Source organism: Homo sapiens, chromosome 2, assembly GCF_000001405.40.
Source record: "Homo sapiens chromosome 2, GRCh38.p14 Primary Assembly".
NCBI lineage: Eukaryota > Metazoa > Chordata > Mammalia > Primates > Hominidae > Homo > Homo sapiens.
Genome location: NC_000002.12, coordinates 191,970,350 through 191,998,329, shown reverse-complemented (window position 1 = coordinate 191,998,329; position 27,980 = coordinate 191,970,350). Strand labels below are relative to the sequence as shown.

Below are 27,980 nucleotides of genomic sequence, written 5' to 3'. Positions count from 1 at the left end.
TAACACAGATAACACAACTACAACTACTAAGTCTGAAGATGGGCATTATGCAAGAACAGATTATGCAGGTACATAATATTTTCTTCTACAAAATGTGAGCTCTTCTATTAAAAGAGAGTCCTGGGAAATGGTTGTTTACTACTTATTCCAAAGTGAAGCTTGCAAGACTTCTAACATGTGCTAGCCTTCTCTTGCTTAGTTCAAGCTTTCATTAGGCAAGAGTAATTTTTTGTTGAAGCAAAGAAGACATACGGTTTTTGCCAGAGTTAAAGCAATTGTCAAAAATGTCACTAAGATATAATTAGCTTGTCTTTACAGTGCAAATAGTACAAATAACAAAACATTTATCAAATTAATAGCATCAATGGAAATGAATGCAATTTCTGGCAATATATTATAATAAATGCAAATGTTCTTGTTTAAATTTTCATAAAAGTCAACAATGAAAAGTTTGCTAGTCTCTAAAAAGCTAGAAAGGACAGCTACAAATAATAATGCAGGTTGTCTTTATTTAGATGCAAAGTTAAAAATGTATGTATAGGTTTTTTTAATAGTAAATTTCTTTAACTTATTTTGAAACTAAAATGTAGTTTCTCAGACATGCAAAATTATAAAGCATTTTATATAAATATAAATCATATTTAACAATTATTTCACTTTGAAGAATGTCTCTAGCTAATCTAACTTTTCTAGAGTGAGAAATAATTCATGGGTATACAACTGAAATTTTAACAGATACTTAAATTTTATAGAAATTTGGGATAAAATATATAAATAGTATATAGGTTGATAATGATATGTGAAGTTTTTTAGGCAGAGCTTTTCATTTAGATATTAAGCAATCATAACTAGATTTATGGTAAATATTCAATCAAAAAGAGTTGTTTCTTGTCTTTTAAAATATATACTACCATCTATTCTTTCTTTCTGAAATTTCATTTTCTTTAACATCAGGATAAATGTGTATGAAATTTAAAAAATTAGTTAATATAGAGATCTGAAATCTCTTAGAATTTGGAAATAAAAAAGATATTTTAAACATTTATATTTTAAACATTTTCCACATTTTATCTTAATGTTTTTCAATATGTAGATGGATTTTTTATGTGCTATAAGACAGAAATTATCATGGACAATTATACATGGAAAAACATTGGTTCTACCAATGTATAGCCATTCCCAAAGCGTCCAGGAGAGAAATTTACAGATGTTCCTTGAAAAGAATAGTTCAGTGATCTGTAAGTTTGGAAGAGCTCATACAGACAAATGGGTCTTCTACCCAGAACTTCTCACAGCTCTTATGTTCATTATAAAATATTTAAGAGACATACATCTTTTATTTATTTATTTTACTTTTTGTTGTGGAGAATTTCAAATAAAGGTAAAATACACAAATGTAGGTTCTATAGCTTACTGAACCCACAAGTACTCATCATTCAAGCCCAGTAACACCAACCCGTGGCTAACCCAGCCCTGTCCTCACCCCTATCCTTTTTCCATACTTTCATAATATGTGGAAGCAAATCCTGAAAATTTTATCATTTCATTCACAAATACTTTAGCATGCATCTTGAAAAAAAATCAACAATTTTTTAACAAAGTTACAATACTGTAATCATACCTAATAAAATTATGAATAGTTCCTTATAGTACACAGCTTTTAACAAAATTGTTTGATAACACATTTTTGTGGCATGTTTTGCAGTATTGTTTCCAAGAATGTACATTGTGATATGCTGATCCACAGAAATATTATCAAAAATAATAAAAGATAATAATGAAAAATAAAAGTCTGAGGCTAATTGTATATATTTTAAATTTTAAATGAAAACAAATTTAAATTGTATATATTTTATAAACAATTATTATATTTTGATGGTATTATAAGCCACTGCTACTAACTGCAATTAAAATACCTTTACTCCTATTTTGCAAACTAATTCATTTGGAAAAATCTTCAAAAATGTAGAATTTATGCATATCTTCTTTAGTGAACCATCCGTCTTTGTACTCATTGAAAAATCAAGCCTCTCCCTGAGAATTTTGTTCCTGAAACAAAGAACTCTTCAAGTTGATCAGTGTCAATATACAAATATATATGCATTTATAAAGTTATTCCAATAAATATCATGAGAGATTCTACTGATCTCTCAAAGTCATTCATATTGCATGTTAACATTTTGCCCATTTCAAAGAGATTTGATAATTGAATTTTTATTCCAAAAAGTATTTATATATGGGTTTGGTTTTTTAAACAGATTATCTCTAATGTTGAGTGTCACTGTTCTTAATTGGCATTTTTTTTTCCTATCTTACTGCTTTATTAGGCATAGGAAGAAAAAAATACATTTTTAATACATGCAAATGAAAACTCTTCTGTCACTCATTGTAGTCCAGGATCTTCTAGTTTGGTGTCAGATTTATCCTGCAAACTCTAAAGAAAAACTTTTAAGATAAAAGTAAATTTTAAAAATACATGTTTGTTGAAATCCAAGTATAAGACAGGAACAAAGATAATGTCAATTGAAGCTTGTAATTCCTAGTTAAACATAGATTGCATACGTCAAGATTCTCAAGAAATTTTAGATATATTTGTCTTCATTAATGGTTTCATTAGAATACAATATACACCCTCTTTAGAAATCATTTAAGTAATAGTCATGTTCCTCAACATTTCCAAGCTTCCAATAGTATTTACAGTTTCCTGAATTTGGGAACACAAACTGTGGAAAAAATTAAAAGGAACCAAATAGAGAGTCTATGTGTCATTGTCCTCTTAATTACTATTTCATATGCTAAAATCTGTCCAAGGAGGGAAAACAGGAACTGTGTGACTCGTATCCCTCAAACTTTGCTGTGTGCTCACAGCTCATTTAATGTCACAGCCACTTCCCTTGTTAGACACACATTCACGGACTCTCCCACCTGAGGGAAGTAAGGATCTAACATACTATCATTTTTGCCTTATATCTAGTTAACACTATAGATTAAAAACCCTTATTTATCCCTCTCAGTTTTTTCTTTGAGCCTACTTTAAGAGCTATTAATACAGGAACACATGTTTCTGATTATAAAAATGGAGATCTTCTTGAAAGAAAGTCTAAATCTTAAAATAAATTAATTGTATCTCATTTTTAATATCAGTTAAAAGAGATCCCAGCAAGGATCAGCAGGAGGTGAATTACCAAAACGTGCAATAAATGCAAACGAAGGGAGCAATGCCTTCAACAAAACTAATATGTGCAGTATACTAGAGTGTGGCATACTTGCTCAGAGATGTGAATTCCATGATCCTCAAAGGCACATAAATGTAGTCAACACTAGGAAACCAAAGAATTTGCTCAATCATCCCTGCCAGTATTACTTTCTGGTTGCATTTGATTTGGATCTCTATTCTGCCCTCTCTCCTTTAATGAGACCCAAGGCATTACAGAGCTTTGAATAAAGGGCTTTGGATCTCTTCATTTCAAAGCCCAGTGACAGGATACTTGTCAGATGAGCTAACCAGGCCATTTAATGTTATTCTCCCTTCATCAATATAAGACTTGGGCTTAGAGTTAGGTCTGTCTCTACACCCACAGAAAGATTCGGGAACACAAATTTTACAAACACACAAAGCTAGGGCTTTCCAGGCTTTTCATTGTCTTAAATTGCTAAAATTAAACTGTCCTTTGGGAAGTTTTTAAATAGCAAATGTTTTACACCTCTTGAAATTTGCAACATTTTCTTTCATATATATGTGTATATATGTGTGTGTGTGTGTCCCTCATGTCTTCTAATGGAAAAGAAAAATGAAGTTCAACTATTTGTTTTTCTTTATCCAGTATATATATGTATATTTTCTGATTGTGTTGTTTTTCTGTCTAAAAGTTTGGTCATGCTTCAAAAAAAAAAAGGCTATATTTTTTCCAGTAAAAATGTACTTAATTTTATAAGTTGTTAGATATTTTATAAAATGAAGTCAGATGATATTGGTTTTAATTATCTAGAAAATAAAATGTTTTTTATTTTATGACATCCTACACCAGTTTTCAGAGTTTGGAGTGTTTTATAATTAAAATACATTTGTATTTTTCTTCCATATTTTTTAAATTGAAATTGTTTAAATAGAAATTGAAAACATAAAATCAGAATTGTTAAAGAAAATACATATACCAGCAACACAGACTATTACAGTTACTGTATTTAGCCCTAAGTTTCTTTGCAACCAATACAAAAGAAGAAATTATGGTTGAATCAATTCATTCAACAAATATTTGCAGTCACCGCAATATGCAAGCCCCTGTCCTGGGGTTTTACAAAGGTGAACAAGTCAACATAGGTATCTGCTAAATGAAACTTAGATTTTTATTGTCTGATAAAAAATAAAAAATAAGTTCAGAGACAAAAGACAAAGTTTCTCTATGCTAAATTATAAAGGAACTATTTAGCATAGATCTTTCTACAAGGCATCAGTGAAAAACATAAAATGAATAAAATCTTCAACAATGATTTTTACAAAATACGCCAAGAGGCTCTCCGTATGGCTGGGAATTTTTAAAATCAATTTTTGACAACATCCTAGAGCATAGAATTAAAATATGTATAACTCAAGGACAGTGTTTCTATGACAGACTAAAGTAATGACTTTCATTTATGGGTATTTCCAATTTTCCAAATTGGAAAAAATACAGAGGAAATAGCTATGAGGAGGAGCATGTTGAGCTTATTTTCCTCATGGATACATAGGTTGAACAGGAACAGGAGTAAAGTTAAGATAAAGACTATGCTGGATTATAGTATGTATGTGGGGAGAAGATATTTCCCCTGGCTGTTCGTGAAAAATGTAAGTCCTGGATTTCATGTCCTCGGAGGGGAGACAGGGCCTCCCTATCTCTGAGTCTAGCTACAGGCCTGCGTCGAGTTCCTGTGTTTACTTGTTGAACATTATACTGTGGCAATTCATTATTTCTTGTAATATTTATTTTTAGGAAAATTTCCATTCCTCATCTTCAAACAATAATTTATACATTAATCTCAGGTCTGAAATGTGGAAGAAAGAAATCAGAAATAGTTAAACGACATTCTGTCCATCCTATTAGTAACATCCCGTTTTTCCACATTAAAGGAAGCTGACATCTGGAAAGGGTATCTAGATAGTTTAAGTGAGTTGTCCTAATAACTTGTTCTCTGTAGAAGCCATTGCAATTTACAAAGCCTTTTCATATATACTGTCTCCTTCAGTCTTCACAACAAACATGTGAAAGAGATACTATATGCTTTTGACAGGTGAGATATGAGGTTCAGGGAGATTAAATAAAAAGAGAATGTGATAGAACTAAGGTTAAAACCATCATTGCTAATTCCAGAATCCAGCAAGTGTGAGGACCAGGGAAGAAGTGTCACTATCTAACAAGTCCCAGCTTTGGGACTGACTCTGCACCCTAAGCGTTAACCATTTGGCAGTTCCAGACCCAAAAATATTTCATCATGATGTTACGTTTTGTGAGATGCTCAAAAGAGTTACTCAAATCTATATATTCTAAGCATCCTATAAGTGATATAATGTTTGCTTTTAAATTTTTCCTTCTTCTGTTTCCTATTTTTCCACATAGAGAAGAGAAAGCAAGAGGAAAGTGTTTGCTACTGAGTAATCCTGCATTAATAAAAAAATAAAAATAAACAGAAAGTAAAAATTTTTAGCCATATTGTGATATGTCATAGCTTTACTAAGATTCACTCACATTGCTTCATTTCTTCTATGTCAACCCAATAAAGCACTAAGGGTACAAATACTAGAGGAAATAAAATTGAGTCTCAAAGAAGCTAAGTGGCTGAGCCGGAACCGGACACAGTATTTTGACATTTTGACTGCCTACCTGTGTAAATAGGGTGCTTGCTTGATTTACCTAATATTTGCCTTGATTATGCCTCAACTGTACATATTTAGGCATGGATATCAAATGATTTCATATCATATTTATAAAATGAATTAATTCAGTCATGTGGCAAAAACCTACATTTAAAATGGAAGCTTTTTCCATTTGCTCGTGAACACAAGGAGCACTTCACCAGAAACCACGTTTTGTCTGGGCCAATAATTTGATCTGTAGGAAATAAATAAATAGCAGCAAATGCAGGCAGCAGCTTGTAGCACAAATATTGGTATCAACAGTGAAATAAATAAAAATGTTTGCCCAGGCTATTACAGTGCCACCAGACTAGCCTAGAATATTTAAGCCTAGGAAATGAATTAAGATGTCAAGATTTTTTCAAGATTTCTGAGGGAAAGTGTCTCATTGCAAGTATTTTCCCCTCTGGGATTTACATTAGAGTGCTGCAAAATTCATAAAGCTTTCTATGAACTCTAACTCACAATTTTTCCTGCTCTCTTGAACTTCTGTGCTTTCATTGTTTTCCCCATAAAATCATGTAGCCAGTCATCTGTAATATTATGTTATGTTCATGGTTATAGATAAACATAGAAATGGTATTTCCAATACAGATGAAGATTTTCCACTGAAGAGTTGCCTTGGGCCCTGGTAGACACTCTGGAAAACTTTGTATTTATGCACCAGTTCATAAACGCATCCTGCATCATTTATGTGCACTTTTTCCTATTTGAAATGCTCCTTTCTGATACAAATCGTTCACCTTGCAGTGTTACTTATCTACTCTTCTCTGCCATAAGTGTGCAGCAGCTGGTTTAGCGGTTGTAACCACAAGATTAGAGGGAACTGAGTTTAAACATTGGCCATGCTATCGTGGTAATTTAACCTTGTTAAATTAGTTGAAGGCTCGGTTTCTTGATTAGTTGAAGCCTCAGTTTCTTGATCTGTTTAATGGAGATAATAAGTCTACTTCCAAAGGATTGAAGTTTAAATTAAAAGACATCATGTAAGGCATTAACAAGCAAATTAGCAAGCTAGCTATTGTTACTTTCCTTTTGGTCTGAAAATTGAAGAGAATTGATTTTTATGGGAAATAGAGCACATTTTATGGAATATAGTCTATCTGTATGATATGTGTTCAGAGTTGTTATACATATATTATCCTTTATGGACTCGTACAATTACAAGAAGTTTCTGGATTATTTTTCCTACCCAAGTCATCTAACAGCTTGTTGCAAGAGACCTTGGCTGACTTTTTAATTCATCTATAAAGAAATATTTATTGAATACTTATTTATAAGTTTTCAGCACATTAACACGTCTAAATATTCACAAAGCAAATTTTCTGGTTTTCCTCTAGTCAACATAATTTATGTATGGTATATTTAGATCACATAAAATATAATATGATCATGAGATTATTACAACATGAAATTCAAATAGAAATTCAGTAGGAAGACATAGCTTATGACACAACTGCAGAATGATGATATCATATGCTTTCCTCAATGTAACCTTCAAAGTCAATCACTTATACTCTAGTCCATATGTTTAGAGGACCTAAATATTCATTATTTAAAAAAAGGAATGTAGTATATGGAAATGTATTTCTGTTTACATAAAACATTATTTTTCACTCAGAAATGTTAATGTTCACATGTCAATAATTCACACACACACACACACACACACACACCCCGCAAAGAGATCAAAACAAATGTTTTTAATGAACTCATAGTAAAGAAAAGACAGGTCTATTTAGCATGGAAGACGAAGAGAAAAAAGCTATGTGAGTTCAAACATCTAGACAATTGCTAGTGGAATGCCATAATTCTCCACCTTAATTTATCTTTTTACCTCAAGTATATGTTATTTCAATTCCTAGGAAGAGTAATGTAAGTGCAGGTAGAATGTATGAAGCTTAAAGAAGAGTAGGATATATCCCAATGCTCTGTATAATTTCAAGGCACAATGTTTTCCATAAACCTAGTAAATAGAATTTAAGCCATTTCGAACAAAAACAACACACACACACACACACACTATTCTGAGCACTTTGATTTGCTGCTTTTGTTAAAGAGTCTGACATGCCCCAAATATATAAGCCAACATTATCAAGAGCTTTAAAAATGCAGTTCTCACATCTTAATGATTTGAAACTATATATAAACATTATCAACTAAAAAAGTCTTAAAATATCTATACAACAAAATGTCTCAAAGAAATTACATTTCTAAACAGCTATTTGTTTCATGGTTGTAGTTTGTTTCCTCCAGTTGTTCATTCAGAAAACACACTTTTACTTTTGAACTTGGATGTAATCAAAAGGAACCAAACTTGTGGACCAAACTCCAGGCATAACAAGAATGTAGTAATCAGTGCTAAGGCTTGAGGGAAGTGGTGGCCTAGTAATCTAGGAATAGTAATGAGGATTAAGGAGGACAGTACTCCACCTCTGAGTCCTGAAGTGCAGGGGAGGAGGGTAGAATATACAGCCACTTTGTGAGAGGGTGGAAGGGGTTTGGTATTCTCAGAAAAATCTAGTGTTTCAGTATGCAAGAAGAAAGGTGAGAATTTCATTGAAGCATCTGAGGCTAGAAGGGAATTTGCCAGTTCTGGAGCATAGTTTTGGGTGAGCTTTGGGAAGTTTTTGGAAGTTGGGGGGCAGAGAAATGGGCTTAATCAAGGGCCAAGAACCAACAAGGGCAGCACATTGTGGGTCTGATGATTTGGTGCAAGATGGATAACTGGACAGGATATGCCAGAATTATACTTTGGATAGTGACTAAATTCATGATCAGGGCAGGTATGGCTCTCAGACTTGTGGACTCAGATATCTAAATTTTCACTCAGAAATGTTAATGTTCACAGACAATTTACATCCTCTGACCAGTGTTTTCTCTTCCTAGAGTTGAATTGCCTGAGAAGCCCAGTTATACTGAGGTTACTTGGTAAGCCTAACTAGAGCATATATTCTTTAGATGTTTAGGGCATCAAGGCATCGAGCTAAAACAGCCTGATGCAAATGTCAACACAATAGGGATTCCACTGCCCTCAAATTAGGATAAATAAGTGTCCTTGGCTAGGACCTCCTCCCCAACTGTCATAACTTGCTCTAACATTCTTGACCTGACCATCCTTGGTCTGAGTTTCCATTTCTGGGTGGCCTCCCACTCAGTCCACCTGTGTTCTCAGATATAGTAAATTTAATCAGGATAAAATTGAGGCCTGGTTTCACGGAAGCCATTTCATGACTTTAAGCCTGAGCTCCTCTGGGATCTGTAGCTCAGTAGCCCCCAAGAAATGACCATTTTAGTATATATCTCAGTCCTTATTGGATTGCTATGTCCTTCTGCAATGGGAAACCTGCAAATGTTTTTTCACAAAGTTAACTTTGAAAGGCATTTTTTAACATATAGTTTAAAGTGGTTTGGCCAATAACAAAGAAAAGTGAATATTTTTTCCTATGGTAGATCAGCATTTATGCTAGCAAATGCTTTTTATGGTGACGTTGTTAATGTTTAACTTAATAAAACACAGAGTGAATGTACTAATTATCCTGCATTTCTGCAGAGTTATTGATGCATTATCAATGTTTGATAGCGTTACGTAATGTTCCTGTAAAATATATTTCACATGATTTTCAAAAAAACAAAAAAAAAAAACCTCTGCCTTAATCTTTCTTTCACATCTTCTGAGGTTGAAAGCTGTGTGTGTCATAGATTAGAAAACTCCCTCCCAAAAGTATGTCTTTAAAAATTTCATTTACTAATGAAAATAAATGTCTGTTTAGCTAAAAAAAAAAATAGTTTTTAAGTATTCATAAAATGGAGACTAAAATCAAGCTCCATTTGTCCTCTAGAAAGTCAGTATTCCAGAAAGACCATGTTATTAGTCTATAGACTTTAAACGAACAAGCGATCAGTGCTTTGTCAGGCAGTACACATCCAAATTCACTTCTGCAGATTGGCTGTTCGTGTAATGTCAAAATTATTCTACAAATCTTGCACCACTGGATTTTTTCCTATTTACTTTTCTATTATTTAAAGAGCACCAGGGAAGTTGAAGGTTTCCTGTTGTTTGAAATAATCTCTGAGCTATCCTCACACCCCTAGCCACTCACTCATTCCCTACAGCTGGCACATAGGCCTTTGTTATTGATTTTTGATTTTTAATGAAATATAGCTATAGAAGCATGAGAAACAACCAACAGGCAGACCAGGGAAACTTATCTGTAAGATGGTTTTAATAAAGTGTCCACATTGTCTTCTATATGTAGAAAAATTAAGAGTAAGCCTAACATTCCATCAACAGTGATAGGCAACTATTAATGCTTATGTGTCTAAGTAGATTGTCAGTGCTATATTCTAATATTGAAGCTGGTTGTTTTCTGCAGCTTAACATACTTCCGAGCTGTTCATCTTAGCCATGAATTGATACGTACTCAGGAAACATAGCTAATTGTAATGTTATCCTAAGAAAACCATTATCATCTTCATTATACTCATGATTATCATCATGATTATAATCATCAGGAAAATAATACCACTGGAATAGGCTCATTTTAGTTCATTCCAAAATCACCTAGAAATTATATGTGTGTTATCTGTTGTTTTGGATTCTCTACAAGGCTATTCTCCAATGACATGGATAATCATATTTTTAATTTCACTTGGATTTTAGAGCCAATGACTTACAAATAGCATTTTGCAGAAGAGCTTGGAGTAGGATGCAGAACTTTTGACTTAGTCTCATCTCTGTTCTAATTCATCTAAATTTAGTTACTTAGCTTCTCAGAACCTGTTTTCTCATCAGTAACATTTGAAAGTAAGATTAACCAGCCTGGGCAACATGGTGAAATCCTGTCTCTACAAAAAGCACGAAAATTAGCTGGGTGTGGTGGCATGCGCCTGTAGTCCCAGCTATTCAGGAGGCTAAAGTGATAGGATAGCTTGAGCCCCAGAGTCCAAGGTTGCAGTGAGCCAAGATCATGCCACTGCACTCCAGCCTGGATAACAGAGTGAGACTCTGTCTCAAAAAAAAAAAAGTAAAAAGAAAGTAAGATTATGATGTTGTCTTTCCAACTTTCGATGTCTATAACAAAGTATATAGCTTTAGTTCAGAAATCATGATTGAGGGAAAATTGTTGACCATCACCTTATGGCAGCAGTTCTCAATTTTGCCTCTACCAACCTTCCTCCTCCTCATTTCCCTCCCACCTCCCATTCAGGGGACATTGGCATTATCTGGAGACATTTTTGATTGTCTGGGGAAGGGGCAGGGGTAAGTACTGCTGGCATCTAGTGGGTGGAGGCCAGATATACGGCTATACATCCTACAATGCACAGGACAACATTATCCAGCCAGAATGTCAATCGTGTTGTGTTTAAAATCCTGCTTTTTGGTGCTAGGGATTAGGGGAAAGTACATATTAGATGAGGTCTAGAAGTTAGGAGGTATTGTGGAGTCCAGAGTTGGCCTGCCTAATCATTCTTGAATTCTCCCGTTCCCCAAAAGGAGACAAAATCCCAGAATGAAGATCACCAGCTCAGTCATTTCATCTTGCTGCTTCAAACACACTTTTTTTTTTTTTTTTTTTTCTGAGACGGAGTCTCACTCTGTCGCCCAGCCTGGAGTGCAGTGACACCATGTCAGCTCACGGCAACCTCTGCTTCCCTGGTTCTAGTGATTCTCCTGCCTCAGCCTCCTGAGTAGCTGGGATTACAGGCATGCGCCACCATGCCTGGCTAATTTTTGTATTTTTAGTAGATACATGGTTTTACCATGTTGGTCAGGCTGGTCTCAAACTCCTGACCTTGTGATCTGCCCACGTTGGCCTCCCAAAGTGCTGGGATTACAGGCGTGAGCTACCACACTCGGCCCCACTTAAAAAAAAAAAAAAAGATAGTTGTCCCAAAATAGAAATGTGAGGTTTCACAAATAAGAGGCAATATCTGTCTCTACAAAGGCTCATTAGAATGATGAAAATTCATCTGGCTAAAGAAGTTGTTTTTCTTTTAGTTATAGGTTATTGAGGAAAGTCTCACAGACATAATTGGATCGCTTATCTTATTCAGTATTCCTAACTAGTATTTGCATAACTTGGGTCCCTGCTTTTCTTCTGTTCAAAGCCATGTCATCCTTTTGTTCATTCTAGCTACTTCTTACAAATTTTGATTAAATTACTGAGCCAAACACTGACTGTTTGAAAGATTGTTTAATGATGATTTTTAAGGAGGCAACAGCAACCATTTCAAAGCTTCTTTATATCTGGGCACTTCCTCTTTATACATTTTTGTAAGCCTTGGCTCATAGAAATATATTTAAAAACAACTGGCTAAATTCTATTAAAACACTCAATGGCAATTTTTAAAACTGTTGTGTTGCTCATGGAACAAAATGTTTGGCATGCCATTAAAACTGAAGTGTTCATGAAAACTTTCATAGCTCAAGGAGACGGGGAACCTGAAGAGGTTCTTAAATGGCAACTTAGTACCCAGATACACTGTGTCACATTCTTCTGGGAAGGACAGGAATGTGCAATACTGTTAGGTGGCTCCAAGTAACAGACCCTCCTTGGAACAGGAATAGACCTGATTGTATTGGTGTGCTGTCTTACCTACTGAAATAAAGTTATTGGTCTTGCAACAAGGACAGTGAGGATATTTGTTTAAAAAGACAGCTTGAAAAAATAGCAAAGACAACAGGAAATGATAAACGAGCAAGACTTTGCCACAATAATTACTGTAGTATTGAAACAAATGAATAACTTTCACAGCAATGTTATTTTCTGTCTTAGATTACACTACTACCTATTCATACAGTATGTGCACCATTGCTCTTTTACTGGGAAAAATATCTAAGAAGGAGGAGTTGGTTAATAAGTTGTCTGATAAATTTGTGTTAATGTTTCAGAAAACTTACAATGTCTTGTGAAAACAGACTATCTCTGAAAGATGGAACAGTTGTTTTGTTTTTTATCTTCACTAGTTTTATGCTAAAAGTCATTAAAAGAAAAACTGAGGTAAATCCCTCTGATACAGACTGGTGAAATAATATACAATTATTTATAACCTATTTTGTGAATGTTATTCCATATGTGATTTGTTAGTTCCTACTGAAATGTTTTGGTTTTGTGAAAAATACTTGGGACAAATTATCAAAAAAACTAAATTCTATACCTAGCTCCTAAATTTATAAATGTTATATAACTTCTCTGAGAATCTGTAAAATATTGTATCTACATCTCTTTTTTTTCCTTTTTCCTATGTTTCAGATATTAAAGCCCTTTGTGAGATATAACTCACTATGGAATTGTAAGAGATTATTATTGACAAAGATTTAGGATATGGATATGCCTCATTCTAAGTGTTTTTCATATTGTCATCAAATTCATATTTTCTAGATAGAAGTAATTGTTTCATTTGGATAGCATAATTTGATCTAATCTTAACAAAATTCAGACTGAAGATTTTTAAATTCTACATTTTTATTTTCCCATTTTTGTGTATCAGTATATTAACTGGGTAATATTTTTAAAAATTAGATGATAAGGATGATGGACTCTTTTTTGATATATGTTAATATATATATAAAGCTTCAAATTTATGCTCCACGTAGTTCTGTTCCCCACTGATTGGCTTAAATCTCATTCAAACTCCATTTCCCAAAAGGATAAGGGCTCTTTGGAGCAACTGTTCATATTATTACAATGAGTTTTTTTCCCCTCCCCTAATGGGTTTCTAACTAATGGACGAGTTTATTGGGCTCAACATGTTTAGAATGTTTCAGAATGTGTGCACAAAGTATACTATGTTAGTCTAAGATGATATTATTTAGCCTTAGAAAAGAAATCTATTATATAATTTGAATGTAATAGTAATGCCCATTAAATTTATGAGTTTAAAATGTTAAGAGCATGTTACCCCATCGTTCCTACATTTCATTCCCTCATTTCAGGGATTTCATTGAGATTTTTTTCTCAATGAATAGAAACATAAACTTTTCTAGTATCATCAAAGGAAGGATTTTACGTTGTAGCTCTTGTTCTCTCTCTGGATAAACAGAAAGTAAGGAAGTCACCAATGTAGTTACTGGGGTTCAGGAAGATTAAATTCTAACCCCTCCCATCATATATATGAGACTTTATCCTGTTTTTAAATTTATTTGGAGAAACTTAGATTAACTTTGGAAAAACAGATTTTCTAAGTTTTCTTGATCACCTAATCCAATAGCTAATATCCCTTGTATAAAAAGGAAATTCATTTTTTTAATTAACAAAATTTTTTCACTGGACTTGATTTCCAACAGTGCCCTTTATTACTTTAAAAAGAAAAATAAAAGAAAAAAAGAACTTACGAAGTTTACCTCCATAGCTTATATTACCTTTAATTAACATAATATTTTCAGCAGATGGACTACTAGGGTTTAGCAGAATACATACAAACTATTATTCGACTTTGGATTACATTTTGAGCCTTGAAATAGCATAGTTCATTCATTGCTGTATGTGACATTTTAAAAAGCTGAACAAACAATATTATTCTTGGAAAAGAAAAGTTCTTTCTCACTGGATTCACCATTTAGAAACGATATTGAATTGATTTGAATCAGAAAATTGTCTCTAAAAACTTGAAATGAATATAAACATTAGGCAGATGATCTCACCTCTTATTTCCTGCTTTAGTCCTGTTCTGTTTCCTTTGAGTGGTTCTTAATATTCATTCAAACATTGTATGTGTTCAGATGTATCCCAGAGCCACAGTTTGCTGTCACTTTTGTCAGAGCCCAGGTTTACTGGGCTCTGTACTTCAGAGCTGTGCAAGGCTCCTATGCCCTGGGGTAGACCCCTCTTAATAAGAGGCATGTTATAATCATTCTACCAGGCACTGTCATCTTATATATCAAGAGCACTTGCATATTTTACCACTATTTCTTCACCTGTAGAAAGCATATGGTGCTTTTAGGTGACTAAAGTTCTCCTGCCTTAGCCTTCAGGCAAAATTCTTACATTCCTTGGAGTAACAAAGGTTCATATCCCTTTTTGCCCCAGGAGAAAAAAAAAAAAAGGCTAAGATGCATCATTAATCATGGAAACTGTCTACTGCAACAGTGCCAAGAAAATGATCATCCTTGTACTACCCATCAATATTCCTGACACCTGTCTAAAAACTCAGGTCATGCATATCCATCTGCCTTTAGAGAAGTGTCAATGTGCAAACATCCTTCCACTATTTTTAGGGTCATGTTAAAATTATTCACCACCTGCCTGTCAGTTCATCCAATTTGTAATATTATCCTGATCTACCATTGTCTATTATTGGTCATTCCTCTTTTGCATTGTGTTTTTAAAGCATTAGAGTGTAGGATGTTTTTGAAACTGTCAAATAGGAGACAGTAGAATCCTACTGGAGGCCAGAGTTCCCACCAATAAATTGCTACACTCGGTGTCCCCTCATGCTTCATAGAATATGCAGACATTTCGGACTCCCATTTCTACTGCAAGCTCCACCTCAATCTTATTTCTGGTAAATGAATTATTGTTTCTAATGACTTTTATTATAAAATCCACCATATTTCTATCTTGGGAAATTGTTCTAAGAGGTTAAAACACACCTTACAAATAAACAAAACTTTTAAAATTAAGGAGTCAAAGAAGAGCTGTTCTGATAAAACTGTACATACTCAAATGCCTAGTAATATTATATTACATTCAAAATTTAAAATGAAATGGAAATTTTGATAGAAAAATATGATGTAGCATGAGAAACTCAAGCAATATCTTGGTATGTCTCATCTATTATTCTTAGTATAAAACTCATAACTTCTAAAACTAGCTAGTCAGTCAAATTGTTCACTGGTGTCAAGTCACTTTTTAACATTTGTATTTTACATCTAATGTAATTTTGAAACTAGTGTAACTTTCTCCATGCTCTTTGACTTTTTTTTTTTTTTTGCCTGTTTTCATTGTCTTGTGCTAACACCTGTGAAACAGGTTATAATATCTTAGAAGTGAGGCATTTCCATGTAGATGGGAAAATCTCAGAACTGAGATTTAATGCACCCTTGGTTCTAGTTGTTGCTATACACTAATCCTCAGGAGGAAGACCTGTATTAGGTATTACATTTGACCATAACCTCCGTGAGTCTTTGTTTTCTTATCTGTAAATTACAGATCTTAGATAGATAATCTCTAATGTCTGTTTCATATAATAGCCTACCTTTCTATTAATTTGTACAATAATGACACATAAAGCCATGGACTGAAGTGCTCAGTCCTTGGTAAATAATGACTTTTCCCAGAATTTGCATAAATATGGATATGGTAGAATCCTGAAAATGGGTAGCAAATTCAGAGTGTCTCTTCAGAATTGTTGTTGCTGTAGTCAACGTTGCTGGCCCAAACCATCAAAATGATAAATTGTAAGCCTAGAAAAGTACCAGTGATTTTCAGACAGTATCAAGTGACTTGAGTTTAACTGTGACATTCATAAAGTCACGTGTCCTGGTTCTTAGGCTTGCTGGTATCCAGGACTTCAAAGCGGCAGATATAACAAAGCAACCTAAGACCTACGAAATCTATTCATGTGGAAGATGAAGGGGCTTAGGGAGCTTATGATTTAATTAGCTAGTTGGGATCAGAATTTTAATTAGTAATTTCCTTATGAGGATTGATAAATGTATTACCGATGCTGGTAATATTTGTTATGACTTTTTGGAAATAAGGAAATTCAGGGGCAAACTGCACCCAAGCTTCTCTAACTTTATATTCAGAAACCCATGTTACTCAAACAAATACACATATGCCAAATTATAATTATTCAAATAACTTTTATGGCAAATAGAAAATAAAGCATTAAGAATGCTAAAGTAGAAATAATAGAAACACATTTAATTTTGCATTTACTTTGTGTCATGCATTATATATACAACACGCTATCTCATCTCTTCACAACCTGCCTGGGGATCAGGTATAATGAGGAAAGCATAGCTCAGAAATGTTGATGCAATAGAACAGGGATTCCAGCTGATGTGTGTAACTATAACTGGCAACAAGGGAAGTCAAGAGTGTTTCAGAAAATGGTAGTGTTTGCATTGAGTGTGCCTGGCAGAGAAGAGAAAAAATGTTATAGACATAGGGAACAACATTTAAAAGGCAAAGAGGCTTCAGTGAGTGGGAATGCCCAGGGAATGACAAATAGTTTCATGGCTAAAGCATGGAATGAAAAAGTGGAGCAACTGGAGCTAAGTGAGAGTAGTAGTTTGTTGCTTCAATTAAGTCTCTTTCCTCATTTGCAATAGAAGTTAAAATTTATCTTCTGCTCAATAGGGGAGTCACTAAGGTATTTTAAATCATGTCGTATTTTTTATTAAATAAAAAAAAAAAACCTGGCAGCAGAGTGAAGAACAGGCTAGAGAGGGAGGGCATTAGGCAAGATTAATTAGAAGACTACGGTCATAACAATGAAGAATGAGTGTTGTGGATGATGGTAGCAACAGAGAGAAATACATAGATTTTAGTTGGATTTAGGAGATAAAAGGTTACCAGATTTGCTAACTGACCAGGCAAAGAGAAGTGGAAAGTCAGGAAAAATACGAAGGTTCCTGGTTCATCTGGCTGCCTAGATGAATGACAGTTCCATTCCCTAAGATAGATAGGGAAAAAAGTATCAGGAAGAGTAGGACTCGGGGCCAAATAATGAATATGTTCATTTCTATGTTGATGTCTTCATCAACATAGATGACTGGAGGTCTGGAGAGAAGAGGGCATGGAAATGATTATGTGGTAACCCTCAAGTAGAGGCAGACGCTGGGGGTGGCAGTGAATTCAAGTGGAGGAAAAAGCAAAGATGACCAAATAAATACCTGGGTAACCATGGGGCAAATAACAAGAAGCCCTGGAAGCAGATGGAAATTGTGAAAACACTCATTAGCTTCTTTCTCCTTTGTTTTCTTCCTTTCTTCTTGCTTCATGTTTTTCTTTAATGCCAGATGAATAATGATTTCACTGTGAGAGTTGTATTTTAAAATGTTGTTCCTGTTGCAACACTTATTTTTCTGTACACTGGGGCCTAACACAATATGCCCTGGTTGTTTTCTGTGCTCACAAAGATGTGCTTCCTCATCGTCTCCTGGCCTGCCCTTCACACCTTCCAGGGTAGGGCTGCTGGGCCACTCTCTTTCCTGTCCATGTCACTCCATGCATTCTCTCTGCCAATAGTGTATTATTTCCTTCACTGTGTTTAATGTGAGCAGATTTATTTATGTATTTATGCTTTTACCTTTTTATTTTATGTCATCTTTTCTCATAATAGAAACTCCATGAGGGCAGGGAATTTGTCTTGCTCCTCCCTGTAAATGCAGTGCCTAAAAGAATGCCTGACAAATAGTAGACTCTCAGTAATTATTTGTTGAGTAAACGAATAAGACTGAGAGCTACCTCTCTAGAAACCAAACTACATAAAATTTTAAAGGAAGCTCCATACCAAATTAATATCTCTTTGCTTTCTTCTCAAGAAATTCTAACCATACTAATATTATTTAACCAACTTATAATGCAAAGCCACATACAGGTGCTAAAACATATAGATAGATAGATAGATCGATAGATAGATAGAGATATATATAGATATATATTAATCATAAATTAAAAATTTTCACTCCTGACAAAATGGATCCTAGTTAGAGGGTTTAATTTTTTTTTTTTATCTCTACTGGGCATTTAAAAAACATTTTAAGGAAGAACTTGTATAGAAAATATAATTCCAAACATTGCTTTGGAAGTAATAGCACAGCCTGTTTACTGAGAGGGGAAAAAAGAGACCTTCATATGCAAATGTATGGCATTTGAAAATGTCATATAGCTACATCTACATATAAATAAGCTGCTCTCTGAATTCCAGGGAAGGGGAGAGTTTTGTATAGCGTTAGCCAATTTCTCTATCAAAGTAAAGTAAACTAATAGAATAGCAGTGACTCAAGATATAGAAAAGCACATCTTTACTACCTCTTAATACAGTTGTGGCACTCCAGGTCAAAGACCACCTGGCCAAAATCCAAACCTAAATGAAATCAAATCCCACAGTGTTTGAATGGCAATAGAAATGAATCAGCTGGAAGAAAAGGGATTCACAGATCAAAAAACTGAGAACTTCCTATCAAGTATTTGCTTCCTTTCTAAACAGTGACATGAAAACCAAAGGCTTCGTGAGGTCTCCTACACTTAGCCTCTATGCCAGAATTGTTTTTCAGGTGGGGTCCTAAAGGTTAAGCCAAAAGAAGAAAAGATTTAATTTTTACCTCTTTCCTATTTCATATTTGTTTCATTGCCCATATACAAGACGGTCACTTTGGGAACATTTCTCCGGTAAATCCTAATATGTAAACTACCATATAGGGATAAATAACTCCTTGTATTAAATGAATTTTTCCTCCAGAAGACCAGAGTACCATTCAATTAAACTATATTTTTCCTACATTGTATGGTTCTCCCAGCTCCTGGAGGAGTTAATTGGCCTCACTTGAATAGGCAGCCCATTCCTGGAGACGAGGTGCCCTGGTATTATTTTTACAATAGGCCATTTGCTGCTTTCCAAGTTGAGGCTACGGAATTCACCATAAGAAGAAAAAAATCTTAATAAATTATTTTATGTAATTTTTACTGACCATTTCATGCAGTCCATGTGGGAGTTATGTTTCCCTACCAGGAAGAGCTGACTGCAATCTACCAGGGGTGCCTGCACCACAATTTCATTTTAGGTGCTAAAAAGCATACCAAAGCCTGCCCTGGCCCTTATATAGCATATTTATAAGGGAGCTCAGGCTGAGAAAATAAGCTTCTAGAATGATAACTGAAGGGCAATACTTGTATTTTAGAGAAAAAGACATTTTAGTAAGCTTAAGGTATCAATGGGGAAGAAAAAGGAAAATTCAATAGTCAAAGGAAAGCAAGAAATCAGGGTGGTCTTCAGATAGATCAATATAATTGCTTTTTTTTTTTTAATAGGGCTGAATGCTTGGCAATTTTATTAGTGCTTCTCTTTGAAATGACTTTTCAATGAAAGAATTATTATCACCATTACAAAGATAAAGAAATTTAGGCTCAGAAAGATTAAGCAATTTTTCCAAGGCCACCCACCTATTTAAGAAGCTGAGAGTATGTATAAACTGAGATCCCTTTGACCACAAAGCTGGCCGATCGCTTTCCATTATACCGGCCTGCCTCTCGATAAATTGAGTAACAGGGAAAAGGTAGCAAGATGCATACTGGCTACATCCGAAACTATACAGTCTCTTGTGGCAGATATTAAAGGAACCCAAACAAATCCCTAATGAGGATTAAAAATATCGTATCAAAAGAACATGTTCAGGAAACTAAAAAAGGAAAAAAGAAGTAGAGAAAATTTTGTTGAGTTTCTGCTAAAAGTGCTGACATGTGGGGATATTTATGTTTTTCTGAACATCTGGTGGATATTAGTATGTTTTTATTCACAATCTTCTGTTATTAATGATAAAAGCTGAGTAATTATGATATACTGCCACAATGAATGAATACCATGCATTTTTTCCAGTGTATTACAGAATCTCATCATTCCATCAAACATAAAAACATAGTTATTTTTGAAAAGAGGAATATGGATATTATCTTATTATAACAAACTTGTTTCCATCAGAATAGATCACATTGAGTCAGCAACTCTGTTTCTAAGAGATGAGATACACTTCAAGTCATAAGATTTGTTGTTATTAATAAGTAATTCAAATTACAATTTTAATATTGCCTTTAGTTTGAGAAATGACCTAAACCTAATATATATTTATTTTGTCAAGACAAAAAATCCATTTCTAAGATTTCATGGAAGGAGAGATTATTTTATTAGCAACAGACACACCATGGCTTTTGTTTCCTTTGTAAATTGTCAAAATGAAGTGTATCTTTACTGACCCTGTAATCTTCTCCCTGGCTTCTGTCTAGAGCTCCTTCAACTATGCAAGCCTTTAAAAAAAATTCATTACTGAATACAATTGACTGTCTTCCACAAAATGCCAGCAATGACACACGCTCAGAGGCTAAAACAAGCCTGGCAGTGGGACTGCCCATAGGTGAGAGCATAGCAGGTGATGGTTAGTGGGTGCCGCCTTTGCAGCGGGACTGTACAATAGCTCCTATGGCATGGACCACACTCCTCAATCCATGCCCTCTAGCCTGCTCCAGGCACAACTAGTTCCCCCACAAGCCATGCTCTCTCTCCCGTCTAAGTTTTTTGTGTCTATTGGTCCAGCATGGAATACTCTTCTGCTTTTGTCTTTGGCTAATTCATGTTCATATTTCATGTATCGGCTTCAGATAGCCTTCCTCTGAGAATGAAAATAATATAACAGCCACTTTCATTTATTGAGCACTTACTATGTGCCAGGAACTTGGCTAAACAAAGACTTCACATTTAAAACTCTTTTACTCATGACACACATTAGTTTAAAATAGCTATAGTTTATTGAGTACTTACTGTGTGCCAGACAGGCATAAAGGTTAATAAGTTGCCCGTGGTCACAGATAGGAAAAAAGGAAAACAAACGAAAATAGGATTTGAACCAAGACATTCAAACTCCCAAGCCTGTGATCTTATTACTTCATAAGTGTGTATAGGTATCTGTTATTTCACCCGTTTTAAATGGAGGTCTTCACTCCCCACCTTCCACCCGGAGTCTGGGCCTAAGTCCTGTTGTGTCCAACATGGGCCTCCTATCTCTTCCCAGTCATCACATTGCATTGTATTTGCCTGTTTGCTTTTCAGACTCTTTCTTTCTAGATAAGGAAACAAAAGCCTTGAGGAATGAAGGAAATTGCCAAAAGACCATTAACAATAATAAATGACTAAGCCCTCTGTTCCACAGTCTGCACTTTTCTTTCTGCGGAATGACCCTTGTAATTGTAAGCCAGGGCATTTCTCCACAGATGGATATCCCATAAAAACAAAGCCAAAGTGACCTGAAAAGCACAGAGAAAATGTATGTCTATGTCCATTTCTTCCTTCTCAATGGTTCCTTTTTATTCGTTTGAAAATAAGAGTGTGAAGATGTGATTCTAATGACTAATAACAACTAAAACATTTATTAAGTGCTGATTATTTGCCAGCTCTTTTGCTGAGGGTTTTATATGGATCCTCTCATGTATTCCTCATAATAAACCTGTAAGGCAAATACTATGATTATCCCCATTTCACAGATAAGGAAATATCTACAGAGGAGTATTTGACTTGATTTGGGCCCCATAACTAATAGGCAGAGGCACTGGCTTTTAAACTCAATTTGACACAATTACTCTTTATTTGTATAAGAAGTGAGATTATTTTCAGTATTGCAAAAATTCACTGTCAATTACCAAACTATTTGACTTAGATAACATATCAATTATGTGTTGTGAGACAAACAGCAAACATACCTTATGTTCAGAATCCTTTAGAAAACACTGAGAAATATTTAGAGAATAAGAGAGAAATGAATATGCCTAAAGCTCTCCATGCTCATATTTTGCTCCTGGTTTCTTTGGAATGTCCTAGCTTGAAGAGATGATAAAGGGCTTGTATGGGTCCAATTCTGTGTTGTAGAAAGGCAGATGGGATCCTGAGGCTCTGTAAAACTGTTCCTCTGCTAGGCATACTTCATATTCTCTATATTAAACTCATCTTTAATTGGCATGGAAGATTCATTGTTCCAAATCTCAGATGAAGATCCCTATATTGGATGCAATTAAGCCTGGCAGCGCCCTCAAAAGACAGTCTTGTCACTGCTAGCCACAGCCAGGACACAGTAACAGTTCCTTCTAGTGACCCAAGACCAATAAAAAAATAAAACTACTAAAGAAGTTCTGACCTCCAAAGGCAATTAGCCCATTCCTGGTATTGCCAATTATGATAGAAAAAAATTGCCAAGCTCCTGGGACATGGAAATACACTCAGTAACATTTGAGAACTGGAGAAACTATTTTCCAAAATAGTATGAAGACATGAAGGTGATTTGTAGATATTTGAGTTTGGAGAAAGTTGAGGGAAATCAGATTACACATGTTTACTACAAGAGATTGTTAATAAGTAAAGAAAGGCTCTGATATAACAAATCTAAACAGACGAAGTGAGAATAAAATCTTAAATTCAAAAACTTGACCATCCCTTTTTAGGCAAAAAAAAAAAAAAAAGAAGAAAAAGAAAAAAATCACCTGATGACCTTCATTTTTCAATTATTAGAGTTATCTCTACTACCTAGAAATAATCACTGTCAAATTTTGGTGAATTTCCTTCTAGTTTTTTATATTTCCTATATATTTTTTTAATTAGCATCCTTCTCATTTTCTATGTCATCAAAATTCTTCATGATTTTTTTCTATTTAAATAACATTTTATCATTTTGTTGTAACATTATTTAACCATTACACTGTTGTGGAAAATTTAGGTAATTTCCCATTTTTTACCATTTTGGATGATGTTATAATTAATTAATCTCTTTGTAACCTGAGTCTTTGTGCTTGAGGCTCTTGATATATGAGCTACTACATTCCTCTTTGAAAGTCTCTACCATATTCTTTCCAATTGATGGTATCTTAAATTTTCTCTGCACCATTAACCACTGGCCAACTAACATAATAAGTGGACTTCCAAAAACTACAATTCTTCTCCAGATAGACTAAATGGTCTACTTACAATGACCCACACTGAACATTAACTTCCCTGATATTTTAGAGCAGCTTTTATAGACATGGCTGGAAATTAAGCTTACAATTAAAAAAAATAAAGAAACATAAAAAAGAATGCCATTTGCATAAACTAAGCAAACAGATCCAAAATATATACATAGTAAAAAGACCAGATGTAAATAAATAAAATTTTGATTTTGGCCTTCTTTAGGTTGTGAACTTTCAGTACTTTTGTTCTTTTCCTATCTATATTTTCTACTATTCTCAAATCAATGTGAATTGCTTTTATAGCAAAAAAGCCAATATACTTTATTTTTAAGAAAAAGATATATAGAACCAAGCAATTTAGTCCTCCAAAAAAAAACCACATTCTTCATATTGAATGATATACAGTATCCTATTACAGTAGTATGCGAAACACCTATAGTTATGACTGTACCTACAGACTCAACTGAAAGAAGAAGGCAATCATAGGAATCTCTCCAGGCCACACACACACACAAAAAAAATTCTGTCTCAATTATCTATAGCTTTCACACAAAATTGTTTTCTGATCTGGAATTATCCAGATGACTGACTCTTTCATTTTTCTTCTAACTCTACATGTAAAACTCTAAGACAATTATTTACCACTGAAAAATTGTGAAGAAAACACCAGATTAAAAATGAGAACACACAGAAAAATTGGGCATGAGTATGTAATAATTCTCCGTACTTTCTGGGTATTAGTCCATTCTCATTCTGCTAATAAGACATATCCAAGATTGGATAATTTATAAAGGAAAGGGGTTTAATTGACTCACAGATCTGAGCGCTGGGGAGGCCTCAGGAAACTTACAATCATGGTGGAAGGGAAAGTAGACACATCCTTCTTCACATGGTGACAGCAAGGAGAAGTGCAGAGTGAAGGTGGGGAAAAACACCTTATAAAACCATCAGATCTTTTGAAAACTCACTAACTATCATGAGAACAGCATAGAGGTAACTGCCCCCATGATTCAATTACCTCCCACCGGATCCCTCCTGTGACATGTGGGGATTATGGGAACTACAGTTCAAAATGAGATTTGAGTGGGGACACTGCCAAACCATGTCACTATCTTTGTTAACTTTTCTCTAAACCTAAATCTATTTTAAAGTAGATTTTTAGGAGACACACATGGCTTCTGGAGTTCTCTGCCTTTAGCCCTCTCATGACATTAGAGATTCACTGAATATTTCTGACCTCAAGCTCCTACTTTATCAAAGAAAAAACCGTATCTATACACAAACACATAAATATATATGTATGCATGTATAGGTATATATATGCATATGTGTATATATGCATGTGCGTGTATGTGTATATACACACACATATATATAAATATGTATTCATGTTCTTAAACTTACATACCTGTTAGGAGTGTTGCAGTCTCAAACAAAATAAGAGCTACAAAAACAAAATTTTAAGTCACTATATGATTATAAAATAATAATATTATTTAATAATCTTTTGGCAAGTAGAAAACCTACGTTATATAATGGACATTGAAGAGACCAAATCTATGAACTTTTTATCTTAAAAGAACTCTTATTTTCTTGTGATAAATTTTTCAAAAAGAAAGCAAAGTTTTGCTTAAAAGCATTTCTCACTGATGTTTCTGCATAGTCTAATTTTTTCCTTTCACTTCATGATTTACTTATCTTGCCTTTAAATTTACATCCCCAAATTCTTCGTAGACAATTACAAATGTCCTTCCTCCTACTTTAGATATCACGTAGCTGTAAGTTTTCATTTCTTAATCATACATTATCTTACTATTATTTAGTAGCTAGTTCACCCCTTAATAATTTTCCACTGAACTACGGATTCTTTCCAGTTAACATCAATTCTACTGTAGACATACCCAAATATAAACATAGAATTTTCAATGTAATCTCAAAAATCCTAATAAGGGATATCTGTCATGTTTATACATTGGAGCTTAAATGTTTCTTCTAATTTTTCCCATTGTACAAAATAGCACTACCAAGATGTTTTAGCCAAAAACTGCATCATCTTGGAATAGTTCCTACCATTTTGCAATACATAAACAGGTCATATTCAATCCACCTGTAAGGTACAAGGGAAATAAAAGTAATTTTTTCCCTTCTTCCATTGCTACTACCCAAGTTGAAGACTGGGACATTGTCTTTCTCCCACACCACTGTACTGGTCTCCTGTTTGCTCTCCCTGCTTCCTCTGTGTCCCCTTAATGATCAATTTTTAGTAACAGACAGATGTGCTGGAAACTACCCAAATGCTTTCCCATTGATCTTTAAACTAGGTCAGGCACAGTGGTTCATGCCTGTAATCCCAACCCTTTGGGAGGCCGAGGTGGGCAGATCACCTGAGGTCAGGAGTTCAAGACCAGCATGGACAACATGGTGAAACTCCATCTCTACAAAAATACAAAAAAAAAAAAAAAAAAAAAAAAAAAGCTGGGCATGATGGTGGGTGCCTGTAATCCCAGCTATTCGGGAGGCTGAGGCAGGAGAATCACTTGAATCCGGGAGGCGGAGGTTGCAGTGAGCCAAGATTGCACCACTGCACTCCAGCCTGGGCAACAGAGTGAGACTCGGTCTAAAAAAAAAAAAAAACAAAAAAACACTAACGCAATACTTCTTAGCTTGGTGTATAGTAAGGATCTTACTGACCTCTCCAACTTCATTTTATCCCTCTCTCCACCATAGCTGGCACATTCTCCATTCTAGCCACAAGGCTGTTTCCTGGAACACCTCTTTCCTGCATTTGTCTTTCTCTCTGTGTTCACTCAGTCAGAAGCTCTTCCGGGGCTATCTCTGACCAGCTCTTTCTCATCCTTCCTTTCCTCAATATGACTTTTATCACCTCTCTAGTATCCCACGCTACTATTCTGTATCTGAGCACCCTATTTTTTCCTGTGACATTTCTAATTTAGATGTTGATTTTTGTTTTTATCTATTGCCTATCTCACTCTCTAATATGCATGCTCTTCCAGAGAGAAACTGTCTATTTAACTCACCACTGTACATACTATACCTGTAGTATTTAACACATAGAAGGAAACCATCAATATTTTAAATGAATGAATATTATTGATGAATTAATTAGGTGTGAGTAGGATCAAGCTCTAGTAAATTTAGAAACCTCATGAGAGAAAACATGTTTGTTACCTTCTCTGGATCCAGGGGGCTATATAGTCACACATCAAGAAACAAAAGTTGTGGGTTGCTATTGACAACATCAATCAAAGCAAAAGTGAGGGGCTCTGTTTGATTTATCAATGTCATATTTCGCTCCCAACTCTGAACATACCTATTTTGTGCTTTTTCTATTTCAAAATAAATGGCTCCCTATAAGCCCAATTCTAAATGTTAGCCATTTTACTTCTAGGAACAAGATAGAAGTTTGACTCTCTCCAAATTCAAATTTGTACATGTTTTATAACCCCTATTGATTTCTTGAGTGGTTAACCATGTACTTAGAAAGGAGTGTAATTATATACCTGGAGGGTGTTAAACCTGTTAAAAGGTAAACTAACACTATAAGATCACAAGGTACCATTTAGTTAATAACTAATCTCCAGCCCTAAATGATGTCCATGTAGAAGTAAACTGTTTAGACTCACATTGGATCCTTAACTGTTTCTAAAGTAGTTTTTTGCACTCCAGTTATCACTGACTAGAAATTAAGGAAGTGCCAGAAGCAAGTCAGTTGTTCAAAACTGGGAAGAAAAAAAAATGAATCTTAGCTACACATCAGCTCTTAAAAACATAATTTTGGGGATGCAAATGCAATGAATCACGGGTACTTCAACTTAAGCTTAAGCTAAGGTGATCATACAATTCATCATTCAAAGTAGGAAACTTTTGAGAGTAAAACAGTACACGATTAATAATTTATGCTGGGAAAATAGACATAAATAAAGGAAGACTTTCCAGGTCACATCCTAGCCGAAACCAATCTTTCAGCTCACTTTCATTGACTCCATTTGGACTATTAAAAGATACACTCTATCAATATGAGTTTGATTGGTAAATGGTTACCAACCATGTACAAACCCTACTTTTTCTAGGGCTGCCATAACAAAATTACCATGAATGAGGAGACTTAAAACTACAGAAATTTATTATCTCACATTTCTAGAGGCTAAAAGACTGAAATTCAGGCATTAGAAAGGCCACACTTTCTCTCAAGTTTCAAAAGGAGAATTTTTCCTGGGCTGTTCCAGCTTTTGGTGGCTCCTGCATGTTTTGGTTTTAGTGGCACATCTCCAATGTCTGCTGCCATTTTCATATGACCTTCTGCTTGTGCGTCTTCCCTTGCCCTTCCTCTTGAGGACACCAGTCATGGATTTGGGACCCACCCTCATCCAGTATGACCTCATTTTAAGTAATTACTTATTTCCAAATAAGAT

General features: G+C 34.6%; 1 protein-coding gene and 1 long non-coding RNA gene across 6 annotated transcripts in view; one reads left to right on the top strand and one right to left on the bottom strand.

Moving 5' to 3' along the window:
* Window positions 1-27,980, bottom strand: part of CAVIN2-AS1 (CAVIN2 and TMEFF2 antisense RNA 1) — a 217,342-nt gene that overhangs the window by 65,500 nt on the left and 123,862 nt on the right. The window lies entirely within an intron of this gene.
* Window positions 1-27,980, top strand: part of TMEFF2 (transmembrane protein with EGF like and two follistatin like domains 2) — a 245,888-nt gene that overhangs the window by 196,604 nt on the left and 21,304 nt on the right. For 4 of the 5 annotated variants that reach the window (XM_011510890.4, XM_017003739.3, NM_016192.4 and 1 more), the window contains one exon: window positions 9-68. In XM_011510890.4, coding sequence (XP_011509192.1) covers window positions 9-68 — 60 coding nt within the window. Of the gene's footprint in view, window positions 1-8; window positions 69-8,779; window positions 25,919-27,980 lie in introns of those variants that run through there. The other variant, XM_017003740.3, reaches the window with a different exon arrangement.